Source organism: Homo sapiens, chromosome 4 (genome assembly GCF_000001405.40).
Source record: "Homo sapiens chromosome 4, GRCh38.p14 Primary Assembly".
Lineage (NCBI taxonomy): Eukaryota > Metazoa > Chordata > Mammalia > Primates > Hominidae > Homo > Homo sapiens.
In genome coordinates this window covers 175,437,910-175,462,031 of record NC_000004.12, presented here as the reverse complement: position 1 = coordinate 175,462,031, position 24,122 = coordinate 175,437,910, and positions in this window count along the sequence as shown.

Below are 24,122 nucleotides of genomic sequence, written 5' to 3'. Positions count from 1 at the left end.
CTTTTGAAGTTAATAAATAATCTTTGCTGACAGGACTACGCTGAATCTCCTTAGGCACTCTCTAATCAGATGTCCTGAGTAGTCCCAATTCTTAGACCTTTTATACCTGTTTTTCTCCTTCTTTTATTCCATTTAGTTTCTCAGTTCATCCCAAACCGTATCCAGGCTATCACCCATCATTCTATACAGCAAATGTTTCTTCAAACAACCCCACAATATCACCCCTTACCACAAGATCTCCCTTCAGCTTAATCTCTCCCACTCTAGGTTCCCACGCCACCCCTAATCCCGCTTGAAGCAGCCCTGAGAAACATCACCCATTCTCTCTCTCCATACCACCCCCCAAAAATTTTCGCCGCCCCAACACTTCAACACTATTTTGTTTTATTTTTCTTATTAATATAAGAAGGCAGGAATGTCAGGCCTCTGAGCCCAAGCCAAGCCATCGCATCCCCTGTGACTTGCACTTATGCCCCCAGATGGCCTGAAGTAACTGAAGAATAACAAAAGAAGTGAATATGCCCTGCCCCACCTTAACTGATGACATTCCACCACAAAATAAGTGAAAATGGCCGGTCCTTGCCTTAAGTGATGACATTACCTTGTGAAATTCCTTCTCCTGGCTCATCCTGGCTCAAAAAGCTCCCCCACTGAGCACCTTGTGACCCCCACTCTGCCTGCCAGAGAACAACCCCCCTTGCCTGTAATTTTCCTTTATCTACCCAAATCTTATAAAATGGCCCCACCCCTATCTCCCTTCGCTGACTCTCTTTTTGGACTCAGCCCGCCTGCACCCAGGTGAAATAAACAGCCTTGTTGCTCACACAAAGCCTGTTTGGTGGTCTCTTCACACAGACGTGCATGAAATTATGAATACATAATAATTGTACATATTCATGGGGTACATGTGATCTTTTGATATAAGCATACAATAGGTAATGATCAAATCAGGGTAATTGAGACATCCATCACCTCAAGCATTTATCATTCCTTTGTATTAGGAGGATTCCAATTCCACTCTTTAAGTTATTTTGAAATACACAATAAGTTATTGTTAACTACAGTTTAATGTGATTCCAAAATTTAGGAGATAATGGTCTTTTTTATTTTTGCCTTTAATTAGATTTTTCTGTAGGTCATGATGCTTTTGACCATTTTCTTTCTTCAAATTCTTACTTAACTTTGGCTTACATATAAGCAGACCTTTCGTTTTCCTCTTAACTCCCTGGGGTCTTTCTGGTTCTTTTCATGAGACACACTCCTCTGCTTGGCTTGCAAATATTCCTGATGTCTCAGGCTGTATCCTTAGCCTCACGCGGTCCTTCAACAATATGTTCTTCCCAGATAAACTCATTTAAATCTCTGTGGATTCTGCTGCCAATTATATCCCAGATGTACATTTGGAATCCTAATCTCCCATGCTATCTATATATCACTGCCTAATTGAAATCTCTGCCTGAGTGTATAATAACATCTAAAACCAATTGCGTGAAACCAATTTTTAACAATCCTTTATGGTTCTAGGTATTAAATTGGCTTAACTTTGGCTATTTCCCATCGTGGAAAATGTCACTGTTATCATCCCAATTTCCTAGGGCAAAATCTGGTGATCACTCATCTCTGCTCTTCCCTCATTGACTCTTCGTTTTCTTTCAAGTCCTCTTTAATCAAGTTCTCTCTCAAGTTTGTTTTCTCTATTTTCAATTTCATTACCTTAACTTGGACCTTTATTATAATCATCATTATTGTTCATATCAGAGCAAAAAAAAAAAAAAGAGCCAACTCTGCCTTCACACTGTAAATGCTGCTATAGACAACTTTTTAAATGGCAGTAGGTCATGTTAGTAGCTTAAACCTTCATGCTTTATGCTTTTTCATTCCTACCAGATACATTTACAAATAATTAAGTTTACAATGTAAGCTCTTCATTATCACTTCCTTCCTGATTCTGGGATTTCACTTTCTGTTACTTTCACACCTATTTTTGCTTCAGCTGTGAATAAATATTAGCAGTTCTCTAAATGTGTAATGTGGCTTCACTCTATCATCAACTTGGTATTTCCTCTGATTGGAATACTCTTCTCTTTTCACCTCATATTCTGTTATAATTTTTTCTCAAATTTCAGTTTAAGTATTGCCTTCTGAGAGCTTTCTGGATTCATGCCAAATCCCTTTTCTCTACCCTTATCCTTTCTATCATAATACATTGCATTTACTTCTACTACTTACTTGTTTCTTTTTTCTCAATAACTGTAGCTATTTGCAGACAAAAGCATGTCTTATTCAGGTCTATGATTTTAGCTTATGGTATCATGTCATAATGATTTCATTACATAAATATCTACTGAATGAATGACTAAATAAAGGGCCAGGGTACTACTGAGGAAAAGCAATCTTTGAGAAGCAATGCATGAGGTAAGTGGGAAGATACAAAAAACAAACTTTTCCAATAATTTTACCAAACTTGTCTTTGTCAGGTCAGATAATTAACCTATGAAAGTTCAAGATCTATGATTTCCAGGCATTGAGAATGACATATCCCAGCATTTAAAATGTCCATTTTCATTGGATAAACTTTTTTCTTATTTTCCTTGGCCCTTAATACTCAAGCAAATTTTATTTTCTAAGTAGATATGAGTTTAGGTGTCACTGTAACTTTTCCATCTCTATTTGTTAGTCTTTACATATTTTCTGATTTGTTTGAACTCATCAATCATTTTAATTGAATAAATCCACCAAAAAATCAAGATGGTAATTCAAAATGCAACTTAATAACAATTATATTTTAAAATATAATATTCAGACAGATAAGCTACTAATATTAGAAATTAACTAGTCTAACATCTTCATTCTGAAGAATCTGAGGTTTCAATGGATAAGTTAGTTACCAATCACACAGTACACTAGTGATTTAGGGATTCATCCTGGGATCTATTTAGTGAATAAATCTTTTCTCTTCATTAAAGAAATTGTCTGGCTATTGTAAGAATTAGCCTCAAATGTTATTACCAGTGTTTATTTAACAAGGTTTGAAAAACTAGACTAACATAAATAGCTGCTGTTTTTAGCATGGTCTGGCATTATCAGAATCTGTTTGCTAAAATATGTTTGCTAGATAGAGCATTTAATACGCCAAAGCATATTTTTAAAAATTTAAAAAACATGACTCTCATGCAAATATAGAATGAACACATGCCAAAGATTTTATTTTACACTGTAAGTCAAAGGGATGATGACACAAATTTGCTAATAGTCATTTCTCAAAATCCACAAGGAATTGGTTCCGGGAACTTTTGTAGATACCAAAATCTGCAAGTGCACAAGTGCTCAAGTCCCTTATGTACAATGGCATAATATTTGTATATATATAACCTACACAATCTTCCCATATACTTTAATCTCTAGATTTCTTGTAATACCTAATACAATGTAAACGTTATATAAATAGTTGTACTCTATTTTTTTAAAAAAAAAATTGTGGTTTTTTTATTGCTGTTTTTTAAATTATTTTTTTCAGAATATTTTCAATCCATGGATGTGGAACTCACAGATGTGGAGGACGGACTATAGATACAAACTGGTTAGTGCCTCACATGCTGAACAGAACGAATGCAAGATAACATAACTTCATAGTATGTGAGCTCTTCTCAGATAGTTTATTAAAAAGACATACATAGATGCTTTCCTTAATATATTTAACAACCCCAAGGCTAGTCTGTCAAATAAAAAAAAAATGAAAAGGACTCACAGTCATTTGTTTTATTTCTGAAGTTAAACAAAAAATAAAATTCTAAGGTCCACCAACCATCTGAATGAACTCCTCCTCTCAGCTACGGGCATTCCTGAGTTAACCTGAAAATCCAGTTCAGGTTATGATGACAAAGGGGGTTGGACATGCCTCACTATACCCTCCAGCATTAACATTAACACAGACCTTAAGTCTGATAAGAAACGTTTGCAATCTATTTTCTGTGAAGCCTGCTGGAGGCTTCATCTGCATAATAAAACCTTGGTCTCTACAACCCCTTATTTTAACCCAGATATTCCTTTCTACTGACAATAACTCTTTCAAACAAATGTCAGTCAGGAAACATTTAAATCTGTCTATGACCTGGAAGCTCCCCACTATTGAGTTGTCCTGCCCTTCCAGATGGAACCAATGTAAGTAAATCTTCCAGGTATTGATTGATATCTCATGTCTCCCTAAAATGTATAAAAGCAGGCTGTACCCTGGCCACCTTGGGCACATATTGTTGGGACCTCCTGAGGGTGTCACTGGCGTGTCCTTAACTTTGTCAAAATAAACTTTCTAAATTGATTGAGACCTGTCTCAGGTATTTGGGGTTGACAAACTGATAACCACGAAGGGATTCTGAGTGGAGTTTCCCCTGACTTTTGACAAATCTCCTATCGGTGCTTGGTACCAGCTTGAGATTTCCTTATGGTTCAAACCAATAGGACAATTTGCCAAGACCCAGGAGCTCCCCTCCCTCCATAGGATCCCCAATCTCATTCCCAGTAAGTAGCTGAATTGGGGACTTTTGTCTTGGAAATTATCCTTAATGACTAAAGGTTAAAATTGACAACCAGTTGAGCCTAATTTCTCCTTACCACAAGAACACTCAAAGACTATATAGTTGGTTTTGTTGTTGTTGTTGTTCTGGTCTTTCTCCCATCAGATTTGACCAACTCTACTCAAATTTGTCAAATTCAAATGAGAATCCCAGATTATGGGCAACAAGACTTCTGAATTGGCTAGAATTTCTCACAGCTTCAAAAAGAAGAAAACAACAACAACAACAAACCATGCACTTGGTTTCTATGTTTGCTTCCCTTCTTAAAAACAAAACTTTCTTTGTTTTGTTTACTTTTCTTTCACCCTATTCCTGCTTTCCCCTTTGCTGTCTTCAGTACCAAGAAAAAATCTAGAGAAGGCTTCTAATGACTCAAGCCCCTGAAAGAACTCAAAACAAAGACGCCACTCATCCCTTTTGGGGTGCTCTGTTTTCTTTGTGGCGTTTCAACAGTCGTGGGCAAATTCTTCTTATGTCTGAAGCTCTCCTATATTTTATTACCTGACCACTTTCGCTTTGTGGGTACCAGAGATGACCTTGTAATGTGAGAGGATTTGATCTTGGTGTGTATAATGGCGGATGAGAGCTACAAATTTAGGGGTAGCTGAGCACAGTTTACAGGAAGTAGTCTTGGCTGGTGTTTTTCCTCCAAGAAAGTTGTTGCTTATGATCCTAATTCTAATTTGGAGGTACATTCTAAATAGTCTTCTCTATTACCTTTCCTCCCAAAATTAGTCTTGATTGACTTCTCTGCTCATTTGCATGAGGAACTGAATTGTCGCTCTTTTTATAGATAAATGAGAGATTGAGTTTACTTAGCTCTGAAGAGAAAGGGCATTTTGCTCCTTCTGGCCAAAAGGTACTCCTTGGTGACTGGGGCTGAATGGGAGTGTCTGGGGGGTTGACCTTCCCATGATGTGCAGCAGCCCTACAGGAAACTCCCAAAAAAATTAGTTTAAAAATGCTCATCCAGGAAACACATATAGGAGCTTGCCACTCCATGTTTTGAGCCCTCTCAGAGGTGCTAGACCTCCAGAGAGAGAAACTGAGGCATGTAATAGGAGGGCAGAAATGACTCAGTGGTGACTCACTGTGGAGTCCTGGCCACAGTCAGCACATCTTGTTCCACTACACTAAACCCTAGGCCACAGACCAGTTCCTTGTTTTAAGAAAAAAAAATGTGCAAAACAAATCACCTAAGAATGAGGAAAGACAAGGAGAATGACCCACCTTGGTCAACCTGCCCAGCTTTATGGCACCTCTACTTGCAAGTGATTGTGAAAATGGAAGGACATAACAGGTTTTCTAATACTCCAGCTGGTTACAGATTAGGTCTGTTCTTGTGTACGTTTTAAACTGATGGGCAAATAACATCATGGAAAACTCAGAGCCCAAAGGTTGACCTGCAACTAACTATAATGTTCCTAAATTCTCTGTTTTCTTTTCTGCCTGATTGAAGTCTGCTGTTACTTTTCTACTAACATAAAATCCAATGTTTGCAATGTTTTTAAAATTATTATTGTTTTTGCAAACTGCTGAGTTTGTATTAATCTCTCATGGCCAGAGTTCTGAAGTAAAAACTGTAAGATCCTTGTTTGTAACAAATGCATTTGTGTGTGTTTATGTGTATGTACATGTATTTCGTTATGTGGTTTTGGCCACAAAGTAGCAAATTGGCTTGAAGCTAAAGAGTATTCATAAATTAAATAATAAGCCCACATGCTTTTCAAGTTCACATGATTCAGGTAACATCTTTCATAAATAAGCTGGTTTTAAAATTATTGGTAAAGTAGTATTAGAAATATCTTAAGAATTGTCAGCATACAGTTTCATTTGCATTTATTTATCAAGCAATCATCAGAGATTACTGTTGGAGAGGAGTTCAGCCAGGATTGGCTGAACTTGAGCGGAATACTGCCTTCCCACTCCATCCCCTTTCCAGTTCCCCATGCTGCTGAGAGCCACTTCTGCTGCACAATAAAATCCTTCACATTCACCAACCTCCGATTTGTTCATGCCACTTCATTCCTCCTGGATGATGGACAAGAACCTGGGTGCAGGTACAGGAGGCTGTCATACTGGCTCTCCACTGAGCTGTTTTAACACTTAAGCCATCCATGAATGGCAAAGCTAAAGGACAGCACTATAACACATGCCTTCTGGGGCTCTGGGGGTCCTGGGCAACCCCTGGACACTGCTGCCAGGCTACGGAATTCTACTCCTGCCAGTGCCTAGAAACACCCATCCCGGTCTCTGCCCCCTCTCACCTGCTCACTCCCACTCCCACAAGGGGTTTGAGAGCTGTGGGCTGAGTAAGTGAACCACCTCTTCATGAGTCCTCTGAAGAGGTCAAGGGAACTATCCCATCTCAATGTGGAAGTGATATTTCACCACCAAACTACATGAAAGAGCTCTAATCAATTGATTAAAAAAAAAAGTAAGTGCTTATCAGGCTGGTAGATATTTGTTCAGATATTAGCTGGTAGATATTAGCCTTTTAAGTCACATGACCTTTGTTATCTTTGGTAAGATTAATTTGGTAAATTTAATTTCAAAATTATCTCCAGTAGTTTAAAATCTTAAAGTCCTGTTGTGTTAAATTAAGTAACTTTGGTTTTTTTCACTGGGAATTTGAGTTCCTAAGATCTAAAATAATAACAGTGTAAAGGGTATTTTTGGTGAAGCTTATAAAATACAAGGATGTGTTTTTTTGCTGAAGAAAATGTAATATTTTTTCTAGTTAAGAAACTATTTAAGTCACTTTAAGATAAAGGAAAACATACAGGTAGAACTAAATGGATAAAAATTATTAAGCCAGGGCAACAAATGTTACCTCTGAGACCTGTGGTTTTCAAGAAGATAGGCAATGTGGGGGAAGGGCAAGACCAAGTAACTATTAAACTAGAGGGTATAATGTAAAGGAATTGGTCCATTTTGTAGATTGCTGTCATCAGCTTCTTGAGAAACCTTTACTATAATGAATTGTAAAAATCACTAATTTAAGGACATAATTCTTAATTTTAAATGCTGCAGAAGGAAAGAGCTTGTTTGTTGATGCAGGAACCACAACTCACTATTAAACAATCACTACTGAATAATGTGATCCCAAGGCACACGAGGTTATTCCTGCAACTAACCTATTGGACCAGATAAATGCCTCTGTACAGTCTGTTTGCCCTGAGATGGTGACTGACCGAATTTCCCTGTAAAATATCAAGTGGAGCACACCAGATGAAGCAGTTGGTATGCTTCATATGCAAGTCGTATGAGACTGACCTTATGATAACCAGCATATTCTCCCACCAAATATGCCCATTACACAGGTCATAGTAAATTTAGGGGTTAAGGGGACTCCTATTGAAACCACCATTGCAAAATTATAACTCAGCTGACCTAGCTAACAACATCTTGTTTCTGATTTCCAAACTGTCCTTGTTCACTTCTGGGTGCAGGCTGAACTAACTTTAGAAAGAACTTAGTTTATAGTTTAATCAACATGATAACAGCCTTTTCCCAAAACAAACCTCCTTCTTGTCTGGGGACTACACTGCCTTTGTAGGACTAACAAATTAGGCACAAGATTAGAAATTATGGTTTAGGAATCATGCAGCTGGAGGCTACAAGATTCTGACCCTCCCTGAATTGCTCCTAAGATCAGTGCTTAAGATATTTTACAGACCCTGCACTTGATGGATCAGCTGGCACCATCCAGATGGATTAACTGCCTCATCTGATCTTGTGACCCCCCCTAGCCAGGAACTGACTCAGCACAAGAGGACAGCTTCAGTTTCCTATGATTTTATCTCCTACCTAGCCAATCAGCATTCGTGGCTCACTGGCTTCCCCCCACCCACCAAGTTGTCCTTAAAAACTCCAATCCCTGAATGCTCAGGGAGACAGCTTTGAGTAATAATGAAACTCTGGTCTCCCACACAGCCAGTTCTGCGTGAATTACTCTTTCTCTATTGCAATTCCCCTGTCTTGATCAATTGTCTCTGTCTAGGTGGCGGGCAAGGTGAACCCAGTGGGTGGTTACACTTTTCCATGGATACCCCAGGTAACATCACTACCACAAAATCACACAACTGTTTGAGAAGCCTTATCAAATTTCCTGTCCCTCATGGGTCTTACAGATGCTTAATAAAACATCGGGGTAATTAACAACAACTACAACAACAAAAATAAAAAGGGAAAGGAAAAAGGGAGTCAAAGGACTCTCCCCAGAAGAGTGATAGAAATTTTTGGATGGGTTTCCACTATTTGCCCCCATTGGAGAACTAAAACAAACAAAAAAACAAACAAACAAAAAAAGCCAAAGTTTATAATGAGAAAGATGGCATTACCTGGGCAATGTTGAGGCAAATAAGATAAACATTAACCAAAGGGCCTGAGTGCCTTGGTCCAAACTTTTGATATAAGATCAAATCCTTTTGATGCAGTATCTTGCTACCTGGGGAATGCAAGGAGGAGAATACTCATAAGCAGGTAGCCTTTCCCCCCTACCATCGCTGATTCTAACTATATCCTCATATAGATTCTAGAGCTGTTATGTTGGACAGTGCCTGATAGACAGCTCTCATCTAACAAGAGTTGTTTGGCTTGTGGATAGTATTTCCAAGGTGAACAAGTGACATCCTGTTTGAAACCCATGCTCTGGTTAAAGAAGAGACAAGCAAATCTTTTTCTTTTGTTATTTGTAGTTTACAGCTATTGGTTGAAGTACATTTTTGTGAACAAGTTTACTTTTCTGTCTGAGTTCTCCAAAATATGGAAACTGCTCATAATCATTCTGATTTTATGACGATATAGTTATTTGCATAGGTTTAGTAAGAATCTTTACTTTTAAAATAGGACAACTAGAGACACTGGTTATTTTACCAAGGCTTTGACTAGAATAATATATTTTTAGGTAAAGTTCCAGCAAAGCCAACTTAAAATGAGCCTATATAGCCAATCAATTCTTGCTGCATTTTATGCAAATAATCAGGCCAAGCATAATAAGCCTAAAACTTACTTTGCACACAGATTGGTCTTACTGTATCTTCTCTCTAATAGAAAAGGAGGGCTAGAGAGAGAAATTGTTTCAAAGGAAAAGTGTAACACTTGTTATTTCAGCTCCGACTTTTGTTTCTGAGTGCAGATTGAATCATTAATTATTTCTTGGCTACAGTAATCCTCTAGAGAGTGCCAGATTATAATTTTTCTTCATATTTTTAGTTGGCACCCTAATGGAGTAGGTTCTTCTTTTCTGTTCTGACACACAAATACTCTGTAGAAATACGAATCTTATTTCTCCTTGTTTTACTTGCAAGGAAGCTAAAATCATGGTAATCTGAAGAGCAGAGATACAAATCTCCCTCCTTTAGCATTACACTGGGCCTAATCTGTTTTTCACTTCAAATGGCCTGCTTTTAAGACTATACAAGCACCCTCCCTCTAGGCCCAAGGACTGTCATAGAAAAGGTGGGCATGTGAGGCTGTAAGGGCCTGGATTTGAGGGATAGAATTAGGTCAAAGTTGGACCCTCCAAATCAAGGGTGGGTACAAAGATGCCTAAACAATTGATAAAACAAGGTACTTTGCCTTCTGAGCTATTACACGACACTTTTTCATCCACCCCAACTGTCAGAGGCGTTGGAAGCAGAGCGACTCCATCTTGAGTGAGGGCTAGGAAAATGAGGCTGGGACTGGCCGGGCTGCATTCCCAGAAAGTCAGGCATTCCTAGACTCTAGATGTTTACAGTTAAGGGAATAGATTGATAATATTTACTAAACATCTCGACTTGGGAGTGTCCAGATATCCTGCTATCTTGAGAACAAAGGCATTCCTAATTTTGTGATAAAGATAATAACATTGATTCTTGCAAAAGTATAGTAATTAAGAAAATTAATCCTTTATCACAAACCCTTGAAGCACAGCACATCTCCATCTCCCCATGATCCTTTTTTATCCTTTTTATACAAGCCTTGTACCTGGGCTGGACGCATTTCTCCTCTTACTCTTGGGAACGCCCTACTCTGTCTATAGAGTAGCTGTACTTTCACCACTTGACTTTCTTAATAAACTTACTTTTGCTTTGCACTGCTGACTCGCCCTGAATTCTTTCTTCTTGAGATCCAAGAACCCTCTCTTGGGGTCTGGATCAGGATCCCTTTCCTGTAATATCTTTCTGGCAACCACTGAAGGGACTACAGTGAGGAAATCCTTGACCCAAAGGCTAACTTTAGGTAAGTCGTGGGGTCCTGTAATGTCTTTCTGGTGACCACTGAAGAGCCTATAGTGCAGAAACCTTCAATCCAAAGGGAAAATTTGGGTAAGTGGTGGGGTCCGGTGATATCTTTTTGGCAAACCGGAAGTGGTGATATTGAAGAGATCCATGACCCAAAGGAAAGTCATTTGCACACACCAATTGGCTGACTTTGGGTAAGTGAGGATTGGGTTAGAAGACCCAACTTAGGGGAGTCTCTCCTAAGACAGAGAGGGTTAAAGGCTTCTCTCAATAAAAGGCAAGGACTCTTGACCAACCTTGGGTTAGAGACCTGACTTAGCAGGGTTAGAGTCCATTCTAAGATTTAGGGGGGTAGCGTGAATGCTCTCTCAGATAGAAACAAGTTTGGCACCACAGGATGTTAACTGCCATGCTCTTTGTATTAATCTGCCTTGTCCTCTTTGTGGCATGAATCAATTTCTTGTTTGCAGTCTCTGTTTCTCTGTCATTTTCAGGATACTTCATTCAACTGGTCTTAGGGATTTTAACTTATTCTTCCTATGTGTGCCTCCTGATTTCCATCCATTTGCTTGTGAAACATTGGGAACAAAAAAGGCATTGAAGGCTCCCTCTCTAAAATTGCTGATTGTGGTTTGGTATTTCATAGCCATGAGCAATAAGATTAGATACATGTGGTTATGTTTTTTTGCTGCTAGGTTATATTTTGTTGCTGCTGTTATGTTTTGTGCTAACTAGGTGTGATCCAGAAGCACTAGGATGAAAATCAGGGGACTTTTTTTCCTTGCCGTTTTGTTTCATTTTGCACACAAAAAACACTTCTTTCCTTTCTTGGATTCAAGCAAACTGGCTTTGCTTGTCCAATCCATGTTGCCACTATTGCCCAGAACCTGCTTGCCCTGGTCATTCCCATCTAAATCCTCTTCATTTCCTTTGCCTTATTCGACATTTCTATTGTTGGAGTCCATGTTGTGATATATCTGAGATTCATGGCTGCCTCATTTATATTATTCAGACACTGTGAATAAGATAATTCCATTTTTTGGCAGGGATCCCCCTCATTACTGCAGCTGATCTTAAAAACCTCTCCTATCCTTTTTAGTGGAACTCAGCCAGTGACAATACAATCTCACAGGTTTGGAACTTTACTTTCAACATCACCTGCCTCCTTCATGGGAACCATGGCATCAATTCCAAATAACTCACCACTAGGATATATTTTTGAACATTGAGACCAATTTAAACTGAATAGACTTAAGAGGAGAAAACTGGTGTTTCTATGTAATACATTTGGCCTCGGTATTATTTGGGAAAACAAGAGAAATGGCCTCCTACTGGAACTAAGGCCTTTAATACTGTACTTCAACTCGATTTGTTTTGTAAGTGAGAAGAAAAATGGGATGAAATACCATATGTCCAAGCATTTTTGCTGCTCAGTCAGGATAAAACCCTGCAGCAGGCGCATGTGTGTTTGATGAGAGGAAAGGAAGAAAAAGAACTAGACATACTAGATGATCCTGTGATGCAAGCTCCTGCAGTTCAGTAGGCATTTTTTGGTGGAGCAGAACCTTCAGCTGTGTCGGCCCTTTCTCCCTCTGGTCCAGCTGAAAGTTCTATTGAGAGCCCTTCATCCTCTCTTCCTTACCTGTCTAGTCCCACTTTATACCCACCACTCCCTGAGGAACTTAGCCCAGTGAGTACCACTCGTAGTGAAGCCTCTTCTAAACCTCTGAAAGGAAATCTTTCCTTAGAGAGGTGGCAAATGAGGAAGAAGGCACAGTGAAAGTACATATCCCCTTTTCTATGTCTGACTTGGCTCTATGTAAAAAGAAGCTCAGCTATTTCTCTGAAGATCCAGGAAAATTCGTAGATGAATTTGAGAAATTAACTCTGACCTATAGTTCATCTTATCAGGATCTGCACATTTTGTTGTCTCTGTTTTGTACAGCAGAAGAGAAACAACACGTTTTGGGAACAGCTAGGACCCAGGCAGATGAGGTATTGGCTCACAATCTGAACCATAATATATCAAGCAGGAGGCATGGCAGTTCCATCTTGATGGATCCATCAAGATCCATCTTGGTCCAGAGTGGAACTATCAAAGGGGCAGTGAAGACTTGGGGAGGAGAGATCATGTGGTCATTTGCTTTTTGGAAGGGATGAAGAAATATATGAAAAAGCATGTTAACTATGACAAGGTTAGGGAAGTTTCTCAGGGTAAAGATGAGAATCCAGCTTTGTTTCAGAGGCATTTAGTTGAGGCAATTAAGAAATATGTGAACGCTGAGACTGCCTCAAGGGAAGGGCAAACCCTTTTGGGAGAACGTTTTATAACCCAGTCTGTCCCTGATATCAGTAGGAAGCTAAAAAAAAAAAAAAAAAAAAGCAGCTATGGGTCCCCAAACTCCTATGAACAGCTTTTTGGATATGGCATTTTTAATTTTTAATATCAGGGACAAAGCAGAGGAAGCAGAAAGAGCAAGAAGAAACTCCCACTAGGTGCAGCTCTTGGCTCCAGCCTTAAGCTCACCTCCCACATGGGGTTGCCCGCCTGGGTCTTGGCCTGAACAAGGGAGGTTGAAAGGTGGAAAGCCCAAAGCTGGGTGTCTGAGTCACCAGGCCTTGGCCATAAATCAATGTGCACGCTGTAAGAAAACTGGCCATTGGAAGAGGGATTGCCCAGCGCTCCGAAGGGAGCCATTGGCACCCCAACCAATAGAAAAGGATAAAGTTCCCTTTGCCCATCACAGGGGGTGTGACGGGGAGAGGCTCACTTCTTCAGGGCCCTGCTGCTCAAACCTCTAGGGGAGCATACAGAGGGGCAGGTTGTGGGGGTCCAATCCCCTGGTTACATTTAGGGGTGGATGTTTACAGCTCCTGAAGCCCCAGTGGGCATGTGCTACCATGTGCTCTTTTAGTTTTGCTGTCTATGAGCAGCTTATGTTAACCAGCTTAACTAGACCCTCTACCTCTACCTTGTTGCAAGGACAGAGGGCTTTCTGTATCCTGAGTTCTTACCTTGGTGTACCAGAAGAATCAGATTACACGTGAGCTTGGAGAATGAGCGCAAAGTTTTATTGAGCTTGTGTTCTTCCACTGGTCGATGGCCTGTGGATGTGCTGGTGTGCTCCCCTCGATGTCCTCTTGATGTCCAGCCACTTGTGTCTTCTTCCACCGATGTGTTCCTCTCGATGTCCGGCTGCTTGTGTGTGTGTCTGCCTGCTAAGGTCTCTGAGTTTTTATAGGCACAGGATGGGGGCATGGCAGGCCAGGATGGTCTTGGGAAATGCGACATTTGGGCGCAAAGGCAGGAGAGCCTGTCCTCACCTAGGTCCATGGGCACAGGCCCGGGGGGTGGAACCCTGGTGAGGGATCTGCCCTTCTCCTTTCAGCACTTTCCTGCCCCCCTTCCTTATCACAATGATGGCCAAAGCAGTCAGGCAAGCTGAAGAGTGATGGGGCCCGAGACCTTCTGCCATAGCTCTCATTGGATAACTAGCCATAACTCCTGAGAAGCCTCAGGTAACCCTTGATGTGGGTTACCTGGAGGGTAAGAATATTAACTTCCTTCTGGACTGCTTACTTTGTTTTGACCCATTATATTGGGCCCCTGTCACTCCAAAACTATGGTCACTAGATGGACAAGCCCATAGATGCCATTTTACCTATCCTTAAGCTGCTCTTCAGGGACTCTGGTTTTCTCCTGAATACCACACTCCCTTGTTGGGAAGGGGATTTGTTGACTCAGCTGCAAATGGTAGTAGCTTTTGGAAATCACAGGCAGGTGAAAAATTGCTCCTTCTCCTTTCCTGTGAATAAATCAGGCTTTGTTGCTAGACACTCCTGATTTAAGTCTTAAAGTATGCCAGATTTTGAATTCAGCTACCTATTTGCCTGAACACACAGGCACAGGCCCCCTAGATCATTCTTGTATACAATTAGGGAATAGTTTACTCCAGCCATCTGGATTTAAAGGATTAGCCTGTAGATAGTCCTGGGGTAGAATGGTTTGCAGATGGGAAGTAGCTTTGTGCACCAGGGAAACAGAAAAGCTGGATATACTCTCATTAGTCAGCACGAGGTAATTGAATCTCAGGCTTTACCAGCTTTTACCTTGGCTCAAAAGGCAGAATTAATAGCTCTTATTAGAGCCCTGCAATTGGGAATGGACTTAAGAATTAACATTTACACTGACTCTAAGTATGCCTTCCTGGTACTTCGTGCTCATGCTGCTATCTGGAAGGAACAGGGACTCCTAACTGCTAAGGGTTCCCCTATAAAACATCACTTAGAAATTCTGAATCTATTGGATGCTGTTCTTCTGCCCAAGGAAGTAGCTGTAATCCATTGCATAAGACATCAAAAAGGAGATTCTAGGCCGGGAGTGGTGGCTCATGCCTGTAATCCCAGCACTTTGGGAGGTGGAGGCAGGTGGATCATGAGGTCAGGATTTCAAGACCACCCTGGCCAAGATGGTGAAAACCTGTCTCTACTAAAAATACAAAAATTAGCCGGGTGCAGTGGCAGGTTCCTGAAATCCCAGCTACTTGGGAGACCGAGGCAGGAGAATTGCTTGAACCCAGGGAGCGGAGACAAGATCATGCCACTGTACTCCAGCCTGGGCGACAGAGTTAGACTCTGTCTCAACAACAACAAAAATGAGATTCTAGTGTGACTAAAGGAAAGTCTTTTGCAGATGCAGCTGCTAAGGCAGCAGCATTAAGGGAGCCAGTTGGACTTGTCGGCATACTAGTACCCTCAGCTACAGTAATGACAGAACCAAAATATACTAAAGAGGAACAAGAATGGGCTAAAGGTCAGGGTTTAATTCAAGATCCTTCTGGCTGGCTTATCAATGAAAACAAACCGTTGATACCAGTTGCTAATCAGTGGGAAATAGTTAAGTATTTGCATGACTCTACTCATTTGGGAAGAGATTCCCTGTTTCAATTGATGTCTTAGCTTTTTATAGGAAAAGGCTTACTTAAAACAGTAAAGCAGGTAACTCAGGCCTATGAACTATGCTCCCTGAATAAGCCAAATAACCAATCTTTGCCTCCTCTTCTAGTAAGGCCTATTCAGCATAAAGGAACATACCCTGGTGAAGATTGCTAGGATATACTCAGATGCCCCCATGTAAAGAGATTAAATATTTATTAGTATTTGTTGACACCTTTACAGGTTGGATTGAGGCTTTTCGTACCCAGTCTGAAAAGGCAATTGAGGTTTCTAAACTCCTATTAAAGGAAGTAATTCCTAGTTTTGGGCTACCTAAGAACTTACAGAGTGATAAGGGTCCATCTTTCACAGAGACAATTACTCAAAACATATCTGCAGCTCTAGGAATTCTGTACCACCTTCACCTGGCGTTGAGGCCACAGACTTCAGGGAAAGTAGAAAGAGCTAATCAAACTGTAAAAAGGGCTCTTGCCAAACTATGCCAAGAAACATCAGAAACCTGGCTGCCTGTATTGCCTGTAGCCTTGTTATGGGTTTGAGGGGCCCTCAAGGGAAATCTGCCTCTCAGCCTTTTTGAAATGATGTGTCAAAGGCCTTTTGTAACTACAGACCTCCTAATAGACGTAGATACTTTCAAGCCACAGAATTATGTGATCAACTTAGGACACGTGCAAAAGGCACTCCCTGAATATGGAAATCAAAGACTCCCTTCCCCCACTAAGGAGGAGACTCTTGTTACAACCCAAGCAGGAAATTGGGTCCTATTAAAAACTTGGAAGGAATAATCCCTAGCAGATCAACTTTCCCCAGAAATGGAAGGGACCCTATCAAGTTCTCCTTACTTGATACCCCAATTGCAGGTAAGCTTCTGGGAATAAACAGCTAGGTCCACTTATCTCAAATTAAACCTTTCTCTTACGGAGTTCCACAGGCTGAGGAACAGAAGAGACTGATCACATTTATTCCTGTGAGCCAACCAGTAACCTCCAACTCCTGTTCAGAAGAAGCAAAAAGGATGGGTAACGTAAAGACATGGATTGGCATTCTACTTTTGGGTATAAGTCGGAATCATGCCGAGAGTAACTTGTGTACAATATCGGCTTGGTTCCGACAACTACCCAGTTCTTGGAAAGACTTCCCGTTTAGTTTACTTGGAGTGATTACACTTATTTTGCTTTTCTGTTGTGGAATATATTGTGGTCGTACTTTTTGTGTAGAAATGCAAGACAAGCTCATTCAACGCTTTCTTAAATTGGACACATTAATCTTCCAGGTATCACCTCTTGTCAGAACTCACAGCTCTGAACGAACTTCACCATGCCAATGCTTTCTGAATGAGCTTCTCTCTACCCTGAATGCAAGAGACCCTAATAGTTAGGCAGGAATATCATTGCCCCTATTCAGCCTGAAGGAGATACAGAAGATGGATCTTCATTCCTCTGCAACCCTTAGGATTAAGGGTCCTGTTTTAAAGGGAGCCGGGAGATATGTCAGAGTCTATGGAACCAGAGTGACTTCATCTTGAGTGAAGCCTAGGAAAATGAGGCTAGGACCGGCTGTGCTGCATTCCCAGAAAGTTAGGCATTCCTAGCCTCTAGATGTTTACGATTAAGGGAACAGGTTGATAATGTTTACTAAGCAGACTCCGACTTGGGAGTGTCCTAATATCCCCATATCTTGAGAACAAAGGGACTCCTAATTTTGCTTTAAAGATAATAATATTGATTCTTGCAAAAATATTGTAATTAAGAAAATTAATCACAAACTCTTGTAGCAGAGCACATCTCCCTCCTCATGATCTTTTTTTATCCTATATACACAAACATTGTACCTAGAGTGGACACGTTTCTCCCCTTACTTTTGGGAATGCCCTACTCTGTCTATGAAGTAGCTGTGCTTTCACCACTTTACTTTCTTAATAAACTTGCTTTTGCTTTGCACCGTGGACTCACCCTGAATTCTTTCTTGTGTGAGATCCAAGAACCCTCTATTGGGGTCTGGATTGGGACCCCTTTCCTGTAACACAACCATAAAGAATATACTACTTCCTATAGAATTAAAAGTAAGTAATTACTGAGAGTATAAAGATACCTCATAACAGAACCTCTTGGCTATAATACTCTCAGTTAAGAGTTTTTCAGATATATATGTATTTTTTTAATTTTCAGAAGAATGCTTATGTTTTGTATAGCTAATTACTACAAGTCTGTAACTAATACCAAGATTATAGTAGCTCAACACATAGAAGTTAAAGAGAAGTCAGTTTTGTATCCTGTCTGTGGATTTTGTTTGTTGGCTTTTAACTTAAAAAAAATTACTTAAAAAAAATTAAGGGGATAATGAATGCCTGTCTATGTCCATTCTTATCTGGCTAGACTCTAAGTCCCTTGGCCACAGGGAGTCCCATCAAAGAACAGGATGGACCTGGGGCAGGCCGCCATGCCACTCTGGCAACACTATGGGACAAAATAAAAATGTGGTGGCCATTGATGTTGCCTTTGGCAAATCTTGGCCAGAAGGGGGAGAATGTAAACCAAAAATGAAATTCTAAGGTCCCTGCAACCATCTGAATGGACCCTTACTCTCAACTAAGGGCATTCTGGAGTCAACCAGAAAATCTAGTTCAGGCCATGATGGAAGAAAGGGTTGGACATGCGTCACTATACTCGCCCCCACAGCATTAACATCAACACAGACCTTAAGTCTGATAAGAAACCTTTACAATCTATTTTCTCTGAAGGCTGCTACCTGGAGGCTTCATCTGCATGATAAAACCTTTGTCTCCCCAACCCCATATCTTAACCTAGACATTCCTTTCTACTGATAATAACTCTTTCAACCAATTGCCAATCAAAACATTTTCAAATCTATCTATGACCTGGAAGCTCTCCTTCACTCCCTCACCCCCACCTTGGCTGGAGTTGTCCCGCCTTTCCAGGTGGAATGAAATATAAGTCTTGCATGTATTAACTGATATATTATGTTTCCCTAAAATATATAAAAGCAAGCTGTACACCAACCACCTTGGGCACATGTCATTAGGACCTCCTGAGGCTGTGTCATGGTTATGTCCTTAACCTTGGCAAAATAAACATGCTAAATTGATTGAGACATGTTTCAGATATTTTGGATTCACATGAGTTTGACATAATTTAAAAATGCATATATTATAAAAGCAATATCCTGCTGCATCTAATGACACTTAACATCCCAGTTTTACATAAACTTGCGAATGGAAAGTATTTGAAGAAACTAATATCTAGTAGAAATTCTTACAGTTCCTAATATTTGATGCAAAGTGTGTGTGTACTGCTTTAATTGAATAAGAGAAAAGAGTAAAGCAAAATTATAGTAACCGCAATAGCTACCACTTATTAATCTCATTATGCAAGTCTGCCAATATGTTAAATGTTTTGAGTATATTTTTGTCACCTTCACTACAACCTTAAAGTTTAGAAATTATTTACATACAGCAGATGGTGAACTCCGATTTAGAAAGGTTAAAATCCTTTGCTCAAGAAAGCGAAAAGGGCAGATTTGAATTAACCTCCATCTGCCACTAGTTTTCATTTTCTCACTGCTTTCTTATTTTTTATTTTTTACGTCTTGGGCTTTTCTCTTTCATCATAAACCTTTGGAAGTGTGGGGGCTGAAATGGTCTAATACATATTTATCTCTTGAAATATAGTTCTTAAGGAGCCAAGAAATAATACCATGTAATTAGTAATGCCATTAGTATTTATTGAGTATGTGCTGTATTCCAGTTTCTGTGCTAATTATATAACCTGGATTAACGTATTCAGTGTTCACAATGGTGCTATATGATAAATAATGTTGAATCATAGTTGCAAGCACCTGAAAGTAGATTTTGGTTGGCAAGCAAAAAACAAATGTGTTAACATCATAGTAGACAGCTAACAAGTTTCCCCAGGTAGCGAGAATCCGGTCTTGGAGGATGCACACACAGGAATGAAGCTTGTGTATGCCCCCATCTTATGGTAACACTGGAGGACCGGTTCAGTGAGAACATGGCCAGCACTACTGCCACTCATTAGCTTCTGTGACTTCCACCACTGATACTTTGGGGATTGTTGCAATGCTGCCCAAAGAATGGAATTTTGTTGTACGTAATCGGTTCCACTCCCAGAGATAGTTACATGAGGTCCTCAGTACAGAGCAGGTGCCCCTCACTAGCATCAAAGCCTTTTAACCTTTCATTGAGGGAGGGGACTCCATCCTCCACCAAGATTCATATGATGGGGAATTTTTTCAAGCTTAAAAGAGGATTTGGATGCTGAGCAGACTTAAAGAATAACCAGTAACCACTTTGCAAGTAAGAAAACTGAAGTGGAGAAAGATTGCATAGTTTTCTCAAATATATATATATATTTTTTTGAGACAGAGTCTTACTCTGTCACCCAGGAAGGAGTGCTGTGGCATGATCTTGCCTCACTGCAACCTCTGCCTCCCAAGTTCAAGCGATTCTCCTGCCTCAGCATCCCAAGTAGCTGGGATTACAGGTGTGTGCCACTACGCCCGACTAATTTTTGTATTCTTAGTAAAGATGGAGTTTCACCATGTTGGCCAGGATGGTCTCGAACCCCTGACCTTACGATCTGCCCACCTCGGCCTCTCAAAGTGCTGGGATTATAGGTGTTGACCACGGCGCCCGGCCTCAAATACACATAATTAGTCATCAGCAAAGATGTGACTGGATTTTAAAGTCTGTATGACTCTAAAATGTCTGCTTCTAACTACTTTCTGCTCTGGTAGTTTCCTACTGTCAATTATTTGTTTTGCTCAGCCGTTCCCTCAGTGTAAGAGAGGGCACACATGGACACTTTCTGTTATTTTTTTTCTACCTGGCTGCTGAGGGGTTGCTGCTATGACATCTCTTTTACACTGAAAAGCAAAGGGGATATTCGACTTTGCACGCATGCAGACACAGTCACTTCTTCTAATGGCAGCTGTTAGTACTGTTTAGAGATTCTCCACACAGGATATTCATACACATCTCAACCTCAACCAAGTGATATTTTCTTTCTAAAGGTGAATTTTCCTTTCATGTTGTACATCACCTCCTGTAAATCCGCATACAGATCTGATGCCCTTAAGTCTTAAAGTTTGTGGGCATTCTGTATAATACTTGACTTGTTGAAATTAAATTGTGCTGGAAGACAAATCTAAAAGAAGCTAAAATGTGAGAGAAAACATTTGTAGACTGCAAACATTTTGAAACAGAGGTAGGAAGCTTTTAGGCATGCCAGTTGCTAGGAAACCATATCTTGGTTATATAGTTTCAAAATTACTGAAGAGCTCATGCTTGCTTAGGTCAATAGAGAACCAGTAGGAGCAGAAGAAAATCCGATGCAATAAAATGTTTAATGTTTTAAAAAGATGACTGCCAAAATAATTAATTGAAGAGAATACTGAACCAATAATAAGGTTCAAATTACAGATTGTTCTTTATTTGGAGACATGAGTTCAAACTGCTATAAGATTTATGAAGCTATGAGGATATTAATTAATTATTTAGCATTAGAGGATTCAGGACAGTATTTTTAAATTAGAGATGCTATTAACTACTTCACATGATTTTTCTGTAAAAATAATAGTTTTGTGATAGCATCTTGTGTAATATATGATGTGGATTAGTGTTTAATATATAAACCAAGGGTATATATTACTGCCTCTGAGCCCAGCCATGCTGCCCAAGGAATGCAATTTATTTAGCTCCTTCCTCACCCATTGTTCCATCATCATTCAACTGGGCAATGACAATAGCTTTATGACTGGTTTTCTGGTCAACAGTCCTTCTCTTAGAGCGAGCTATCTTTCCTAAGCAAAAACCTTGTCCTCTAGGGAAATTTGCTTCCATAAAAAAGATCAATTAACTTCCTCCAAATTCAATAAGCTGGACAAAAATAAGTAGAAGCAGCAGGACACAAATGGAAGAAAGGGTGCAGGTTCATTCCATACACTTTGAATATTGTTACCCAGAAACAGAATTTTCCACGAGTTGCTTGAGTGGCTCATCTCCAGTTTTCTCTGAAATAGTATAGTCTGAGAAAAGGAGTGGGCACTTTTATGAGAACTCTTAGAGATAACATAAATCTATATGGAAGCATCCAGAATAGAGATTTGGGGTGGCAGTAAGTTGGTAAAGCAGGGACATGTGCAAAACGTCAGCCACAGTCCACCATTGTAGGTGCACAGCTCTTAACTTGGTACAAGGAATTTCAGGGTTTATAAAATTTGCTTTCCTCTGCAAGAAAGAAAGAGAGAGAGAGAAAGAGAAAGAAGCCTAAGAAATTTCAAAGTTTCTGTGTCTCACAACAAAGACTTCAGAGAAAGCAAAGTCAAAAGAGATAAGAAAAATTAAGAACCAGTGGAAGTGTCCATGACCCAGAGTGAGGCTGAACAGAAGCCTCAATTCAATGCTTCTCTCTACTGCTGCCAACAACTCCATATAGGAAGCTCATTCTAAATTTTGCTAACTATTCCAACAATTAGTTAAACCTGTCCTCGAAACATTGGAAAAGAGAATAAATTGAGTGATATAAAGAATAGAAACCAAGAAAAAATATAATTATTAGCAAATTATATCACAGAAAACTTCATATTTCAAGAGATTCACTGAAAATGGAAATATATGGAAAGTAATGAATTAATACAGCTGGTGACATTATTAATATAAGCAAGTCAAAGTATTACTGGCACAAAGCTAGTAAAGATAAGGAAGTCAATTATTCACATGAAGAATACAAATAATAAAGCAAGTCATGGTGGCTCAGGCCTGTAATCCCAGCACTTTGGGAGGCTGAGGCAGGAGTATTGCTTGAGGCCAGGAGTTTGAGACCAGCCTGGCCAACATAGTGAAACCTTGTCTCTACAAAAAATACAAAAATTAGCTGGGCATGGTGGCATGTACCTGTCGTCCCAATTACTCAGGAGGCTGAGGTGGGAGGACCATCTGAGCCCAAGAAGTAGAGACTGCAGTGAGCCATGATGGTACCACTGCACTCCAGCCTTGGCAATACAGCATTTCCAAAAATAATCATGATAATAATTTTAAAAAAAGATTATGAGCAATAAAATGTTTAGTGATGAGTGTAACAAAAAATATATAGAACCTACAAGTGGATACAGCTTTTGAAATAAGGTGAACCACTTAAAAGAAAGCTTGAATAAATCAAAGAAACTGTCTCATTCTTGAAAACTTTCATATTTTAAAATATAAGTTTTCCTTAGATGGTTCCATAGATGAGATATAAACCCCATAAGAATGCCAGGATATTTTATTTTTTTTAGGGTGGGGAGTAAAACTTCACAAAATTATTTTAAAGTTCATCTGAAGAATAAAAATAGGTAAATAGCCATGGCGGGAGGGAGGACCTTGCCCAGAACTGACAGCAGTGAACACAGTCTTGCTAGTAAAATACATCCTGAGGCTAAAATAATAGGAAAGGAAAAAAATAGCTGGGTCTGTACTTAATTCTTTATGCCAGAACACATTCAACAAGTAAACCATGCACATCTGAGAAGAGAATATGCATTCATGTTTTATACATTTAACACATTTAGTATTTTTGAGAGAGAAAGCATTTTAAAAAATATGCTATGAAACCAAAAAATCAAAAATAAACAATTCTTGAAATCGACATATGGAAATTTAAGCAGCATGACAAAGAAATGTAAGTGAAAAACCTCTTTAGGGTCAAAATAAAGGGAAATGATAATGATGCTGCACTGGGGGAAAGTACTTGTCATACATAAGACAACAAATTCTCTAATACAGAACATGTGATACATCACCAGGATAAAACAATCTGGGAGAAACAATGACCATTTCCTCTAAAAAGGCATTTTACAAATATCAGCTAAAATTAAAATGTCCAGATGATATTTTTAAGAGCTTAAATTTCATTTTTAATTTAAAAATACAATTAAAATAACAATTTACCATTTTTCACTTATCAGATTAGCAGAAATTTTAGAAATCAGCTAACTCTCTTTGCGGCAATATGGAAAATAAAGATTATACAAGAAAAAATTAGCACAAGTTATCAGTAACTGCCTGTTCCACAGTACAAGGTGTGCCACCTTCCACAGGGCCCTCTCGGTGTTAATGCGGGTCTGAGCACCTCAACACCAGCACCTGAGACTCCAGCCTCCCTACCGCCCCTCCCCAAAGTCTTGGCTTCGGTAGGTATATATTTCAATCCACAAGTTGTGTTCACAAGAAATACAACTTCAATTTTCTAAATCTTGATTTCATATTTCAAGTCCCCACTTGATATCAATTCAGGGTTCTTGCCCCTTTGCCCAGGTTTGTATTGGATTCCATGTCATTATGGTGGGA